This window comes from Homo sapiens, chromosome 9 (genome assembly GCF_000001405.40).
Source record: "Homo sapiens chromosome 9, GRCh38.p14 Primary Assembly".
Classification (NCBI taxonomy): Eukaryota; Metazoa; Chordata; class Mammalia; order Primates; family Hominidae; genus Homo; species Homo sapiens.
The window spans coordinates 18,320,187-18,337,629 of record NC_000009.12 but is presented as its reverse complement, the minus strand read 5'-3'; the positions used below and the strand labels follow the sequence as shown (position 1 = coordinate 18,337,629).

At 36.4% G+C, this 17,443-nt stretch overlaps 1 protein-coding gene across 11 annotated transcripts in view, besides 1 other annotated feature; it reads right to left on the bottom strand.

Moving 5' to 3' along the window:
• ADAMTSL1 (ADAMTS like 1) overlaps window positions 1-17,443 on the bottom strand; it is a 1,004,318-nt gene that overhangs the window by 573,321 nt on the left and 413,554 nt on the right. The window contains exons 1-2 of one of the 11 annotated variants that reach the window (XM_017015313.1): window positions 4,498-4,513; window positions 1,199-1,298 (exon numbers count right to left, since the gene is read on the bottom strand). The exons of the other annotated variants lie outside the window; for them this stretch is intronic. The gene's annotated coding sequence lies outside the window, so the exon portion shown is untranslated. Of the gene's footprint in view, window positions 1-1,198; window positions 1,299-4,497; window positions 4,514-17,443 lie in introns of those variants that run through there. 11 annotated transcript variants of the gene reach the window in all.
• Window positions 4,003-4,566: an enhancer, noted in NCBI's record as "OCT4-NANOG hESC enhancer chr9:18333062-18333625 (GRCh37/hg19 assembly coordinates)". NCBI's record gives its function as "activates a minimal SCP1, AML or CMV promoter by ChIP-STARR-seq in primed H9 embryonic stem cells {active_cell/tissue: H9 hESC(primed)}" and the evidence as "EXISTENCE:reporter gene assay evidence [ECO:0000049][PMID:30033119]".

Below are 17,443 nucleotides of genomic sequence, written 5' to 3'. Positions count from 1 at the left end.
CTCCTTGGTCTAACTCCCGATTTTGCCACTTACTAGCAGTGTGACCCTGGGTTAACTATATAATTTCACTGTGTCTCAGTTTCCTCATCTGTAAAATGAGAATACTGATAGGAAAGAAACAATATGGATAATAATTGTATTTGTCAGGGTTCTCTAGAAGGACAGGACTAATAGGATAGATGTATATATGAAAGGGAGTTTATTAAGGAGTATCGACTCACACCATCACAAGGTAAAGCCCCACAATAAGCCATCTGCAAGTTGAGGAGTAAGGAAGCCCGTCCAAGTCCCAAAACCTCAAAACTAAAGAAGCTGAAAGTACAGCCTCAGTCTGTGGCTGAAGGCCCTAGAGCCCCTGGCAAACCACAAGTGTAAGTCCAAGAGTCTTACACCGATGGGGGAAGGATGAAGGCTGGAAGACTCAGCCAGTCTGGTCCTTCCACGTTCTTCAGCCTGCTTTTATTCTGGCTGTGCTATCAGCTGATTAGATTGTGCCCACCCAGATTGAGGGTGGGTCTGTGTCTCCCAGTCCACTGACTCAAGTGTTAATCTCCTTGGGCAACACCCTCACAGACACACCTAGGATCAATACTTTGCAGCCTTCAATCCAATCAAATTGATACTCAATGTTAACCATCACAGTAACCCACTGCATTAATTCAAAAGACAACTTAATAAAAATAAAGGCTTGGAACAATGTCTGGCACACAGTGAGGTTTATGTGCATAGTCATGATATTTATTATAATATCATTATTAGAGTTTCTTTGCTCCCACATGGTCCCAATGAGATGGCCATCTCTATAAACACAATCTGATCTTTATTTATAAATAGACAAAAATAGAAATCTAAAATCTAGTCCAACATTCACATTAACTTGCATGTACTGTCAAACAGTGCCACTAATACTAGTAATGCTAGAACTGATGTTTTTAGTACACAGGCAGGGCAAGAGTTGCCGAGTTCCTTTTACTTTTTGTAACCTTCCACTTCACCCATCTATAAAAACAGATCTTAGGCTACATTAAAAATTTTAAATTCTATGATGTAAAATACTGTGTATTGTCTAAAGAATTTGATATAAACCACATGGTTCTACTTTTTACATATTTAGCCCTGCAGATTGTTATCTTCAACATTGTATGTTTTTCTCTCACAGTTTTACTTTCTTTTTGAAAAACTGAAATAATCTAAGTACCTTTCTTGAGTGACTTTACATATTCAGATCACTTTTTTTTCCACTTCAGCTTAGATCTATTCATGGCTGATAGTCCTTCTTTAAGTAGAAAAATTGTTGCCTGTGGTAAAAAAAAAAAAAAATGAAATTACATCGTCCCCCTAAAAGCAAAATGTTTAAGGAACATAAGCAATCTTTACAAGCTACTTAAATTTTGTCTTATAGACAAAACAATGTTTCTCCAAACCAACTCTAAGCTCTTTCATAGGTCCATCTACCGGGAACACAAACTCTTTAAATGTTTCACCAGGATTTATGTAAACTCAATGGCATAAGTTTTGGGATAAGGCTTATGTAAAGTATTAAATTCCAGTTTATGCTATGTGCAATGAAATAAAACCTGAACTTGTTTACTCATCTTCATATAAGACTGTGCCTTAAAGAGACTTGATTCAATGCCACTCCCATAATGCTAGGTTAATTATTCTCTCCTGTAAAATTGTAGAATATAGCCCTTCCTATAGATATTAAGGGCAGGAATCCAGAATTTTTGTTTCTTTTTCTGGAAACATTTCTACAACCTCCCAAATTCAATTAGGCAAACATTCAAATATTCAATTATCTTGTTATTCTATGAAAGTTTAAAGGTAATAAAAGCCCATGTAAAATATGGTAGCACCTCCAAATACTTTCAAAATCTAACAGCACTAATATATGTTTTACACCACCTTATACAGACATGGAATAGATAGTTCACATTTTTGTTTTTGAAGATTTATTTTTGGAGTACCTGGTTCTAAAGTGGGAAAGCTATGAGGTTATTTAATGGGAATAGTGAACAGTAATATTGTCTTGAACATGTGAAGCACCTAGGAGGGGTCCAGAATCTGTTCTATTATGGAGTCATCTGTCCTCAGAAAACTAGGTTACAATAATCAAACACACAATACTTCTGTAGAGATTACCACCTGTGGCAGCCCCATTATGAATTTTGTGATATATTGCCTCCCCAGTTTGGAATCAATCTGTGGTCAGTAGGTTGGTTGTTGGTAAATATAGAACCAGGAGTTCAAAACCAGCCTGGACAACACAGGAAGACCCCATCTCTACAAAAGTAAAAATAAATAAACATAATAAAAAAGAACGAGAGGAAAATAAGTTGAATAGCTGCCTAGAATATTTTCCACCTGCTGCCTGTCTTAACCCAATAACTTTAGGGACATGTTCAATATATTTTTTAAAAAAACAAATATGTAAATATGTTGCCTGTTTTCTACCAGAAATGGAGCCCCTTGGAAAGAAGGACATATCTTTATCAAAGATCTGTTATCACCACTTTGATTATCTTTGTCATTACACTAAGATGCTGGTGTAGTTTCATAATGCCTTACGTAACCTTCAAGTTATTAAGGGATCTAAATTATCAGGAATTTGTATTATATATGATATACAAATAATTCTTCAAGTTTATATGATTACATGCATGAGGCTCTGTCTTGGTTAATAAAGCAATAGAAAATATTCCAAATAAAGAACTGGAAAAGGGAATGCTTAGAAAATTGACCAAATGAGAATTATTTTTAGCCCCTGACTTGGATACTGGGCAAAAATCTCTTTCTTCTGATGAATTAGAATCCTTCCTTTTTTCTTATAATGGAAGTGGTAGCTTTAAATAAAAGAAGAGAGAAGTCTTTATTCTATTTGGTTTCTGTTGTTTCCAAGTCCCAGACTGGTGACCTAAATTGATAACAGACTCTATTTGTTGGAAGATTATTCTGTCTACCATGTGAATTTGGAAGAAATGCAGAAATTAGATAGATGAATTGGTTTATATAGAAGATGATTTGTAAGTATGTCCAGTGTTGAAAAATCAAACAAAATATTGACTGGATAGCACCACTATTAGGACTAAGAGTTTTAAATTTACAATCCAGCCAATAATGTAGAATATAATTTTGGAATTAAAGTGCAAACAGCAGCACTTTAAACAAGACAGGATAGGCATAATTCTCTGGTATAATTTTTCATAATTCACAATGTAATATATAAGAACTAATCTCTTGCATGTGTGCATATGTGCACACGTGTATATGCACAAGCATTTGCTAAGGAGCTGACAGCTTGAAAGCCATCTCTCTGTTTAGGGTTTTCCAACAAAAGCTTACATAGAGCCTAATCAGAGGTTCACAATTCCAATTTGTATTGTGCTTAGAAAATGAATAAAATGGCACTCCTGGGACCAAAGGCAGACCATTTAGGCACACACTTCTCCCTTTCCATATTTTTTTTTCATTAAATGCTTACTAACACTCTGAGAAGTAAGTAATATTAATCACTTTTTACTATGATTTGAAAGCTACACTAACTTGTCCAAACTTCAAGGATAGTAGGAGGCAGATCTGAGTTTGAATCAAAGTTGGTTTCACTTTAATGCCTAGGAAATCTCCACTTAGCACAGTGTCTTCTCTGGGTTGCTTGTGAAGCTAGTTGATTCTTAGAATTGGGGCCTCTAATGGAAGATCTGGACAGACCCTGTATATATCCTGCTGCCATGGTCAGGCCTGACTGCTCTAGTTAGATTCTCAAGGGTGTGAATTAAGAATATTGCCTGTCATATTAAATCAGTAATCCCTCTGAAGAATCTCAACACAATTACTCAAATAAGAACTTTCTTTTTTCTAGGGTAAAATCTGTCTCCTCTGATGAACTCTCATCTTTGTTTTTTTCTTATAATGGAAGCTACATATAATGGAAATTCCTTGGGGAATTCTCTGACCAAATATTGTACTCAGTTACAGCAACTGGTTTAGAGTATTTTGTCCCTGTTTCTCTAACTTTTTACTGTACTATCATTTATTCAACCAACTGAATTTATTTGTAAAGCTATCTGAAGTCATTTTTACAAAATTGGCTTGCTGTATTAGTCCATTCTCATGCCACTATAAGGAAACACCCGAGACTGCATAATTTATAAATAAAAGAGGTTTGACTCACAATTCCACATGGCTGGGGAGTCCTCAGGAAACTTACAATCATAGTGGAATGCACCTCTTCACAGGAGGCAGGAGAGAGAATGAGTGCCAGCAGGGGAAATGCCAGACGCTTATGACACCATCAGATACCTTGAGAACTCACTATCATGAGAACAGCATGGGGGAAACTGCCCCAATGATTCAATTACCTCCCTCTGGGACCCTCCCAAGATACACAGAAATTATGGGGATTGCCATTCAAGATGAGATTTAGGTGGGGACACAGCCAAACCATATCACTTGGTATAAATACATGGCAACATAAAAAAATAAAAATAATAATCACACCTGAAGCCATTTTGAAAACCTTGATCACCAAATCCTTTACTTGCTAGATAATCTGTGAGGTAAATTTCCTGGTATTCTGGCCATTCTGAAGTGGGAAAGAGAAAAGAAAATGGGAGAAAATAATGCCTGCTAGGTGCCAACAATGGTTGGGTGCTTCTTGTACATAATACCATTTTATTCCTCATACGCTTACAGATGATGAAACAGACTCAGATGCTCGTTAAGCTCATGCAGGTCATAAGTGCCAGAGTTGGGATTTTAAATTCAGGTGTGTCTGGATCCCAACCTTATGCTCTTTTCACTCTGCCAGCAGCCTTCTGACACACTCTTACTGAACTCTGGCGGTTCAATGGGCCAGAGGATACAATGCCTGCAGTTTCACCTAGGGAAATAACTATATAGGCTCTAATTTAAAATAACTTAACTTATAACCATAACTGTGTAGTTATCAACAAATTCTATTGATGCTGTACGTCCATATTGTAGCAAATTTTTTGAAAAAAGGAAAAATTAAAATTGCCATGTCTGGTAGCATGCGCCTTTAGTCCCAGCTACTCAGGAGGCTGAGGCAGGAGGATTGCTGGAGCCTGAGAGGTCAAGGCTGCAGGGGGCTATGATTGTAACACTATATTCCAGCCTGAGTGAGAGAGCAGGATTTTGTCTCTAAAAAAAGGAGGAAAACTGGACTGGTGCGTATAAAAAAGATAGCAAGAGAAGGCAAAACTCAAACTATGTGATAAAATGGGGCATGCAGATAATTTTTCACTCCTTATTTTGAGGGAAATTCTGAATCCTCATTTTTACTTATAATTAACATACCCATCCCTAAATATAAAATTATAAAAACTTTATAGGACTCTCAGTTTTTCTCAAATAGTACATAAAGTGTATGTTTACATCTATGTAAGATAACATGGTCTGGACAAGATCCAATGAAGAGTATAAAAGTACAGTGAGGAGTGTGCCTTTTGTAGTTATATAATATATTGACTTTGGGCTTGTGCTAGAAGAATTGTTCCTTGCCTCCAGCTCCTGAATTTACTACAGCTGCCAAACACTTCCAAAACCTCTCAGTCTCAATCCCAGGGCTGGAGAAATTCCACATCCCTGAGAGATCAAGTTTCACATCAATATTTTGGTGGGCTACTTGCCAATGCCTTATCAAGGAAAAATATAATTACAGGCGAGACTGCAGCAAGCTGATTCTATAATATTCTCCCCTCCTGTCTCAGTGGCTAAAATATAATATAATAAAAGTGATATAAGATACTGCATCTGCCCTTTTGGTAATTCTATTTTCATTTTAGTTCCATTGCTGGATTAAGGAAGACTCCAAGCAATGCCAGAGCTACTGATGCATAGCTACTAAAACTCTAGCATCTGATTTAGGAAAGCTACAGCTTCAAATAGAATTCAAGATAGAAAGGAAAGGTGGCAATAGGATAGAAAAGTTGGGGTCTTGTGGCAAATTGTTTTTGTTTTTGTTTTTCCTAGAATTGCTCTAATGGATAGTTCAACCTCTACACCAGAGATAAAATTAGTACAGGGACTTCAATAATTCATTCATTTTGTTTATGAGTCCCTGGGGGCTTATTTGCTATCACCATGTGCACTGTATTATAACAGCAAGGCATAGTTCAGGACTAATTACTATTGTTCATTCAGACTGAATTATACTAAGGTTTTACCCTGCAGTATATCCAGGAGGGAGGCACAATTTGATGTGTGGTATCTTAAAAACCATAGGCCAACACAGTGGGGATAGATGATACTCACACAGCTATTATTTTAAAATACAGTTTTAAACAAAGACTTTTTATGGCTCTTCACTGGTTATAGACTCAAGTCTGAATGCCTCAGCATAGCATCAAAGACCTTTCTGTCAGTTTGGCTTACCTCAACACACTTCCTTAGCATCCTGTCTCACTCTTCTCCATGAACATATTGTTCTATTGAGCCACATTCCTTCTTGCAGTCCTCAAACAGCTCCTTTGTCTTACACCTTTGTTGCCTTCTCACACTGTTTACTTTATCCTGGATCCACTTTTTCTCCTTCCTCTGTTTGTGAGCACCCTCCACCAAAACCTACACGTGAAATATGCCCTGACTATGCCATACCCAATTGAGGCTGAATTACTTCATAGTCACATGATTTTATCTTCACTTCTCTTCCTCCAGCTACGTAAGCTTCTTTGAGCAAGATCCTGCTTATCCATCTCTGTATGTTGAAAATCTGGGACAGTCCCTGGCATGTAACTGGTGCTCAGTAAATAACAGTTAATCAGCAGTTTTATGCATTTGCTTTTACAAAAGCCATGTGTTTTGTAAAATATAATCCCCAACTATTGGTTTGCTTAGTGCCATATCTTAAAGGTTGTATTTCTTTATAACTCATATTTGTCTATAGGGAGTCACTAGGTGTTATATTCAGCAGAAAGAGCTCAGATCCCAGTTTTGCCACTTTCTACTCTGTGAATTTGGGATAATATCCCACATGTCTATAAAATGGAAATAAGATTTGCTTGGGAGGAACACTTGAGATAAAACACCTGGCACACACTTGGCATACAACAAATGAACCAACAGAATTCATCTCGGAATGATAACATCAGCCTCGGGCATCCACATGGAAAGCAAGACCCTGAGGGAATAGGATGAGAGATTTTAGTTTTTTTTTTTTGATGAAACAAAGAAGGTTATGATGGAGCACAGAATACAGATTGGGAAGGCAGTCCTCAACTGTGTCACTGTAGGGGGTGGCTACAATGCCAATGGATGCAAGAGTGGCAGGATCAGGGAGAAGGAAAAAGGGTAGAAGGAAGATAATCTGGAAAACTGAGTCCTAATATGTGATTTCTGAACAACTGATGACACTGAGAATAATAGGCAGCGTTTATTGAAGACTTAACTGTGTCAAGTGGTTCACAAACTCTCTCTTGTCCTCCAAACTACCTTGCAAGATAGCTCCAGGTATCAACATTATCTATGTCAGCTAACTGATTAAATAAGGACATTTTATTTCTGGGTTATGTTTTACATTTAAAATCGGGAACTTTATTGACATTAAGTCTCATTTCATCATGTGAAAAAGGCCAGACCTGTTTTAACCCCCTTATGCAGATGAGAAAACAAGACTCAGAAATTAAATGCCTAAGAATTACATATGACATATACAGATAATCACTAAGACACATGTTTATATACTGACACCACTAAACTGTAAACTCCAAGAAATCATGGCCTGAGACTGTTCTGCTAGCCACTGCATATGCACTGCCTGGTGCCAGCCGTGGCAAATACAAAGCAAAGAACAAAGAATAGCAAGGTTGCTGAATGAATGAATGAATGAATGCATACATAAGTGAGGAAATAAATGCTTTGATGGATGAATACCATATATTCAGAGGAAAGACATGAAAACTTTGGTTTTGGCCGCAGCACTTGGGATACATGGCTTGATTCCTTGCAGGACATGACAAGGTTAGTGTGGCTGATAAAGATAAGCCACTGCCTATTTGAATGAGGGGTTTTAAGTACTGCCTTCATTTGAGTAGTTTAGGTCCCTAAACCATGAGAAAAACATAACAAATCCTCCAGTGACATTTACTTCATAACATTTAAAAGTATAAATTTAACATTCTTGTAGTGGACACGTTTTGGAGGACTCCTTGGGTCACACTCTTATCTCTAGGAATTGGTTCTTTCTCTATCCCAGTAAATGTTCTTCCACTTATATCCATGAGATTTCTCTTCGTGAACTTAATACTTGAGTGAGTGTGAAGGTATTTTAGTCTGTTTAGGCTAATGTGTATTACAAACAACTGAAACTAGGGTGTATTATAAAAAACTGAAATTGATTTCTCACAGTTCTAGAGGCTGGGAAGCCCAAGATTAAGATTCAGTGTCTGGTAACAGCCTACTTCCTGCTTCATAGATGGCCATCTTCTCACTGTGTCCTCACGGGTAGAAGGGGCAAAGGAGCTCTCTGTGGTCTCTTTTATAAGGGCACTAATCCCATTCATGAGGGCTCTACCCTCACGACCTGACCACTCCCCAAAGGCCCCACCTCCAAATATCCTCACACTGGGGATGAGCTTTCAACATAGGAAATTTTGGAGGGATGTAAACATTCAGACTATAGCAAAGGGTGGGGGGTTGTTTTTTGAAAAAGCTTTGATTGGACAATCATCCAAGCTAAAATGTAAACTGTGGCTACAGAGAGGAATAGAGGAAGGACTAAAAGCATAAGGACATCCATGGTTTGGGGACATCCTGTCATTTCTGGGGACCATCTGTATACTCTGTATCCTCCAGGGTCAGTGACCCTTTCTGGAGTTGCTTCCCATGTGCTTCTATTAATACTCAGATGCCTTTTAAAAACTCATAGTTATACAAACTATTCCTCATCCACGTGTTCATCTAGCCAATGATACTGTGTCACTCATTATTTTAGGCACAAATGACACTAAGATGAGATGCGGCACAGTGTATGGATTAAGGCATGATCTTTTAGTGCCAGACTGCTTGTTTTCATAGCCCAGCTCTGCCACATGTTCTCTATCCCTTCTGGGTATGTTTCTTCAGTTCTCCATGCCTCAATTTCCTCATCTCTAAACATGGGGTGATACTTATGTTATGACGTTATTAGGAGGGCTAAGTGAGTTAATACATGGAAAATACTTGAAATTTAAAATGACACCTGGTATGCAGTAAGAGCTTAATAAATGCTGGTTGGTGTTACGTCACAGTTCATGTCCTCAGGGACATTGAATATAGAAAAAGAGACAAACAGGAAAATAACTGATTATAATGCATTGTGTTAAGAGTTATAACAGGCAGCTCCAGCCATTAAACATACATATAATAAGAACTGCGGGTCATTATATTCGGCTGAGAACACACATGCACTCTCCACAGCAGTGAAAAGTAACAAATTGGATAAATAGCTGAAGTGGTACCCAGGCAAGCACTTTGTGCAAACAGGATTCAATTCTTCCTGGATATTCAGTTTCCTTCTCAAAATCTGCATAATCTCTGATGATCTTTGACTTGTAACACTTCTTTGAGAGATGTACTACAACATTATTTGAATCTTGTCCTGTTACTTAATTCAAGCTTTCCAGTGTGGATTTCTTTTTCTTACAATAGAGTATATGTTACTTTAAAACAGGAAAAAACAAACAAACAAACAAAAAACAGGAAAACCATCTTAAATATCTTTGAGCTTCCACAATCTACACAGCTAAATATCATGGTTGAATGAATAAATGAAAAGCCAACTTGGTTAGAATGGTAAGCAAGCTATATTTCTGCCTAACATTTCTTTTCCTAATTGGATTTATTTTGGGTTATTTAAACTCAGTGTATAACTCTTTAAGCTTTCAGTCAAGACCTTTTATAATCACCCTTATATTAGCTCAAAGGCACTCATATCAACTGATTATAAGTCCATTTGCCTAACAAAACAAACATTAAACTATTGGAACAAGAACTGGGAACCTGAAGTGTAACTATTGGTGATCTCTGCCTCGCTCTGTGGCTTTAGAAACCCCAAGTCCCCAAGTTTGTTGCTATTATAGTATCTACATCTACAAATGAGGAGAACATACTGTTACCTTGCACAGATAAGAGGGGAAAAATGCCTACGTGGGCTGATTGACTTTCAATTCTGCCAAGGAAAGATCTCAGATAACCCAGTTTTGAGTTGAAAGGTCAGCTTCTAAATACCCCAAAATAAAGAGAAAGTATGCCCATAGGGCCTGACTCTACTCTGGGATCATTAACGCGTCTCCTCAGTTCATTCCTTTGGAATAGATCATTTAGGTCAAGAGTAGCATAACCATAGTGTGACATCATGCCAAACACCCATAAATCTAATTCTATTTATGTTTCAGTTGATTTGGTAAAATGCAATATCAGAACAGCAAAGGTTTCTGCCCAGTTATTACAGAAACAAGAGTGTCACTGCTCTTTAGAAAGAAGCTGCATATAACTAAAAATGACCTACCATGAAACTCAAAAGGAGAGTACCAGTAATTTGAAAATTTTTTTATCAGCTTTCGCTAAATTTTCTCTCAACTCCAAACCAAATAATCATTCCCTACTTGCTAAACAGATCTTAAATATAAAATTCTATTGGCTTTTTATTTTCCTTTGTATTAGCCAAAATAGGGCTTTTGAAAAAATATTTAACTGGTCTCAATTTTTTGTTCAAGGTTGACTTAGCATTTAAATCCAGTTGCAAGCAACAGGTCATATTTCACTTAAATAATGGCAAGTAGCCTTATATTAGAGACATTCTCATATAAAAGCTCCACATTAGGAAAAATGCATTCTGAGAAATACTCAAATACTATAAAGTGGTCAAGTATATGGAAAATGAAGCTCTGATCTGCAAAACAGCCTCAATAGGTTGCATTCATTTACCAAGGGGGAAGGGATGCATGGAACCATGCAAGGCCAATGTGTGAAAATCCATTACTCAAGAGGAATGTGCTAAGGTTCTAATGTTTCTAAATCAATTTTTGATTAATATTTAAGATGCCTGATATATATTAAATGTCAAATGTATAATAAAATGTATTTTCTTACAGTTAGTAAAATACAAAGCATGCCAGCACACTATGACCTATTTTTTAAAAAATGTATAGCAACCAGTCTCAAATTGTTGACTCCTCTCCATCTCCACTTTTTTTTTTTTAGGTAAAAAATTACATATAGGAAAAAGGCACACATCTTAAGTGTATAACTTGATGAATTTTGATAAAAAATACATCCACATCACCACCACAATCGATGCAGAACATTTCCAAAACCCCAGAAAATTCCTTGGTGCCTCCTTCCAGTTAAGCCCTCCTCCTTAGAGGTAATCACCGTTCTGATTCCAATTACTATAGATAAGTTTTGCCTTATTATAGTACATCACAGCTGCTATGGTTTGAATATTTTTGACTCCTTCAAAATTCATGTTGAAACTTGATCCTCTCCAAAATTCAGTTGTTCCTACTATGACAGCATTAAGAGGTGGGGCCTTTACAAGGTCATTAGGCCATGAGGGCTGCTTCCTCTCTACTAGGATTAAGATCCTTTTAGGCCGGGCATGGTGGCTCACACCTGTAATCCCAGCACTTTGGGAGGCCCAAGGTGGGTGGATCACCTGAGGTCAGGAGTTCAAGACTAGCCTGGCCAACATGGTGAAACCCTGTATCTACTAAAAACACAAAAATTAGCCAGGCGTAGTGGTGCATGCCTGTAATCCCAGCGACGCGGGAGGCGGAGGCAGGAGAATCGCTTGAATCCTGGGGGCGGAGGTTGCAGTGAGCAGAGATTGCATCACTTCATTCCAGCCTAAGCCAAAGAGCAAAACTCTGTTTCAAAAAAAAAAAAAACAAAGGTCCTTTTAAAAGAGGCTTCAGGCAACACCTAGCTAGCTTACACTATCTTCCCTTTCTGCCATGTGAGAATGCAGCAAGGATACTCTCTCACCAGATCAGAGGCTAGCACCTTGATCTTGGACTTCCCAGCCTCCAGAACTGTGAGAAATAAATTTCCATTCTTTTTAAATTACTCAGTCTGTGGTATGTTGCTATAGCAGCAAAAACAGACTAATATATATCCTACATATATCCAATAGTGTATCTTATTTTGTGTCTGACTTCTTTCACTCAACATAACGTTTGAGATTCATCCACATGAATATGTATGTAATGATAGTTATTTTTAGACTGCTAAGTCATACTGTGTGGTATGAATACATCACAACTGTGTTACCCATTCTATTGTTGATGGACTTTTGGGGTGATTCCAACATTAGGCTGGCTTGAACAAAACTGGTATGAACACTTTGTGCATGTCTTTTTGTGGATGTTATGTTTTCATCTCCCTTAGGTAAATATACAAAAGTAGAATCACTGGGTCATAGGGTAGGTGTATGTTTGACTTTATAAGAAATTGTCAAACCTTTTCCAAAGTGGTTATACCACTTCACATAGTCATCATCAACAGATGAGGATTCTGGTTGCTCTGCATTCTTGCTAACACTTAGTGATGTCAGTATTCTAATTATATCCATTCTACTGAGTGTGTATATTTTCTTGTGATTATAATTTGCATTTTCCTGATGAATGCTGCTGATAACATTGTTTATATATTTATTGGCTGTCCATATATCTTTCGCTGTGAAGTGTTTAAGTTTTTTTGTCCACTTAAGAAATTGGGTTACCTCATTATTATTGATTTAGAAGTCTTTCATCAGATATGTATTGTACATATTTCCCCTTAGTATGTGGCTTACTTTTATATTTTCATAATGGTGTCTTTTGGTGAAGATACATTTAAAATTTTGATGTAGTGTATTTTTTTTTTTTTTGAGATGGAGTTTCGCTCTTGTTGCCCAGGCTGGAGTGTGATGGCGCGATCTCAGCTCACTGCAATCTCCGCCTCCCGGGTTCAAGTGATTCTCCTGCCTCAGCCTCCCTAGTAGCTGGGATTACAGTCATACACCACCATGCCAGGCTAATTTTGTATTTTTAGTAGAGACGAGATTTCACCGTGTTGGTCAGGCTGGTTTCAAACTCCCAACCTCAGGTGATCTGCCTTCCTTGGCCTCCCAAAATGTTGGGATTACAGGCATGAGCCACTGCACCTAGCCTGATGTAGTGTGTTATTTTTTCATTTTTATGTTTAATACTGTTTGTGCTCCCTGTAAAAAAAAAAAAAAAATCTTTGCGTATTCTGTTTCACAATGATACTCAAGATTTTCTCCTATGCTATTACAAAAGGCTTGATATTTTTAGCTTTTAGGTTTAGGCCCATCATCCATTTTGAATTAAGTTTTGTGTGAGTGTGAAGTAGTGATCAATGTTCATTTTTCCCATATGTTTATCCACTTTTTTCTAGGATACATGTTAAAAAGACTTTCTTTTCCCCATTGCATTAACTTGATGATTTTGTAAAAAGTAAATATACATATGGCTATATTTCTGGTCTCAATTCTGCTTCATTCATCTATTTTGTCTCTTCTCAGTATAATATCACACTGCCTTTATTACCTTAAGTTTTGAAATCAGGTAGTATAAATCCTATTTAATCTCATTCTTCATTTCAAAAGTTTTTAGGCTCTTCTGAGCCCTTTGCATTTTTATATAAATTACAAAATAAGCTTGTCAATGTCTACAAAAAAGCCTGTTGCAATTTAAGTTGATTGCACTGAATCTATAAGTCAATTTGAGGAGAGTTGGCATCTTTAACAATTTGAATCTTCCAACCCACGTACATGGCATATCTTTCCATTTATTTAGGCCTATTTGATTTCTCAAAGCAGTCCTTTCTGATTTTAGGTGCTAAGGTTTTGCATATATTTTGTTAAATGTATCCCTTATGTATTTCATATGTTTAAAGCTATTGAAAAAAGTATTTTTAAATTTTAATTATTTGTTGATAGTATACAGAAATACAACTGATTTTTGTATACTGAATTTGTTTCCTATGATCTTGCTACTTGTAAATGTTTTTGTGGATGATTTAGGACAATAAAGCCATGCTGTCTGTCAATAAAGAGAGTTTGGCTTCTTTCTTGCTAATTTTATGGGTTTTTTTCTTTTTGTGCTGACTTAATAACCCAGTAAAATATTGTATAGAGGTGCAAACATCCTTGATTTGCTCTAATTTAAGGGGAAAAGGATTTACTATTTTACCATTAACTGTGATACTAATTTTAGGTTTCTTATATGCTGTCTATCCGATTTAAAAAGTTCCTTCTCTTTCTAATTTGCCAAAAGTTTTAAATCACAAATGGGTGTTGTACTTTGTCAAATAATTTTTATTACTCCATTGAGCTGATTCTATAGTTTTTTTGTTAATTCTCTTATTGTGGTATGCCACATTGATTGATTTTCAAATGTCAAGCCAACCTTACATTCCTAGGATTAATTGGGCTGCTAATGTTCTATTAATCTTTTTTAGTATATTGCTGTATTTGATCTATAACACATTGTTAGAGAATTTTGCAAACATTTACGAGATACAGTGATGTGTAATATCCCTTTCTTGCAGCATGCTTTTTTCTCAGATTTTGTATCAGGGTCACATTGGTCTCAAAACAAATAGGGAAGTATTCTCTCCTCTGTTTTCTGAAAGATTTTGTGTAAGATTGGTATTAGCTCTTCCTTAAATGCTTCATAGAACTCACTAGTCTAAACAAACTAGCCTGGTGTGTTGTTTTGTGAGGGAAATAGAAATAGAGCTATTGATATTTTCTATTTATTTTTTCTTGTAACATTTTAAAGTTGCATTGATGTATGCATTTTATCTAGGTTGCTATATTTATTGGCATAAAGTTGTTGATGATACTCTTTTTTATCATTTTACTATCTATGGATCTATAATAACCACTCTTATTTCTGGTATTGGTGATTTGTGTTTTTTCTTTCTTCTTGTCTCCTCTATTGGTATTGCTAACGGTTTTTCTTTTTGCTTTATTTTGTTGTTGTTGTTGTTGAGACAGGGTTTTGCTCTCGTCACCCAGGCTGGAGTGTGCAGTGGCACAATCTCGGCTCACTGCAACCTCTATTTCCCAGGTTCAAGTGATTCTCTTGCCTCAGCCTCCCAGGTAGCTGAGATTCTAGGTGCCCACCACCACGTTTGGCTAATTTTTGTACTTTTAGTAGAGACGGGGTTTCACCATGTTGGCCAGGCTGGTCTGGAACTCCTGACCTCAGATGAGCCACCCACCTCGGCCTCCCAAAGTGCTGGGATTACAGGTGTAAGCCACCACACCTGGTACTGCTAATGGTTTAACAAAATTATTAATCTTTTAAAAATTGTAGTTTGGACTTTAACTTAATTTTTTTCTATATAATTGGTTTTAGCTCTTATTTTTATTATTTCCTTCTATCTACTTATTTTGGGTTCAATGTATTCTTCCTCTTTTAAAATCTTAAAGGGGCAACTCAGCTGATAGATTTTAAACCTTTCTTATTCTTTAAGTCTATAAATCTCTAAGCAATACTTTGGCTGCATTCCACCATTTCTAACATTTTCATTATAGTTTAGTTTGCAGTATTTATTAATCTCTCATTGATGTCTTACCTGACTCAGATTAAGATATATGTTTAATTTTCAAATATTTGGTGGTTTTTACTAGATATCTTATTATTATTGATTTCTAATTTAGTTCCATTGTCACCAGAAAACATATCTTGTAAAATTTTAATCTTTCAAAATTGACTGAGACTTAGTTTATCATATAGCATATGATGCATTGGTAAATACTCCAACTGCACTTGAAAAGAATGCACTTAAAACTGTGTTTTTTTTGTTTTGTTTTGTTTTGGTTTTTTTGACATGGAGTCTCGCTCTGTTGCCCAGACTGGAGTGCTGTGGTGTGATCTCGGCTGACTGCAAGCTCCGCCTCCCGGGTTCACGTCATTCTCCTGCCTCAGCATCCCAAGTAACTGGGACTACAGGCGCCTGTTGCCACGCCCGGCTAATTTTTTGTGTTTCTGGTAGAGATGTGGTTTCACTGTGTTAGCCAGGATGGTCTCGATCTCCTGACCTCATGATCCGCCTGCCTCAGCCTCCCAAAGTGCTGGGATTACAGGCGTGAGCCACCGCGCCCAGCCAAAAATATGTATTTTGAGTTGTTGGCTGTATGCTCTGTAAATGTTAATCAGGTCAAGGTGATTGACAGTGTTGATAAAATCTTACGTATCCTTGCTGATTTATTTTCTCTAGTTGTGCTGTCAAACACTAAGAAAGAGCATTTAAAAATCGTCAACCATGTTTGTAGATTTTTACCTTTTTCTCCCTTTAATATGTCAGTTTTTGCTCTCTACATTGTTAAATTTTGTTACTAAGTTCATATGCATTTATGATACTTTTGTCTTCTTATTAACTCTTTTATTATTACAAAATATCTTTATATTGGGTGATACATATTGTCCTGAAATGAACCTTGTATGACATTAATAGAGCCATGCCAACTTTCTCATGCTTACTTGTCTGCATGTCATATCTGTTTCCATCCTTTTACTTAAAACTTACTTGTGGGTTTATGTTTAAAGTGTGTTTCATATAAACAACGTAAAATTGAGTGTTACTGTTTAATTCATTCTGTCCATGTATTCAGTTAATATTTAATATAATTAGTAATACAGTTATATTTATATCTATTATTTTGTTATTTGTTTTCTATTTCTCATCTTTTTATATTTCTGCCTCCTATTCTTGCCTTCTTTTGAATATACATTTTAAAAAATACTCCATCTTAATTTTTCTAACGGCTTAACTGTATCTTTTTGCAAATTTTTAGATATTACTACACACATACACACCCTTGTCAGTTTATTTAGAATTAATATTATACTTCTTCACAGGAAATAGAGGTACTTTGCAACAGCATAATTCCATTAACCTCTCTCATCCTTTGTGTTAATATTTTAATATATTTCCCATACATTTATACACCTCACAATGTAATGTTGGAATTTTGCATTAAAAACCAGCTATTTTTAAAAGAAATTTAGAAAACTGTCTTTTGTATTTACCCTCTTATTTATAATTTCTTCCTCTAGATTTGGAGTTCCATCTGCTATCATTTCCCTTCATCTTGAAGAACTCTTTTAGCAGTTGTTACACTGTAGATCTGCGGGCACCAAATTCTCTCAGCTTTCCTTTATCTGATAATGTGTTTATTTCACTTTCATTTATGAAGGATGTTTTTGTTGGATATAGAACTATATGTGGACTTGTTTTTCTCTCAGGACTTTAAAGATATTGATGCATTTTCTTCAGCATCAGTTTTCTAATGCTGCCATAACAAATTACCACAAACTTAGTGGCTTAAAACAACACAAATTTATCATCTCACAGTTCTGTGGGTCAGAAGTTCAGGTACAGCATGGTTTAACTGTTCCTTTTCTTAGCAACTCACATGGTGAAAATCAAG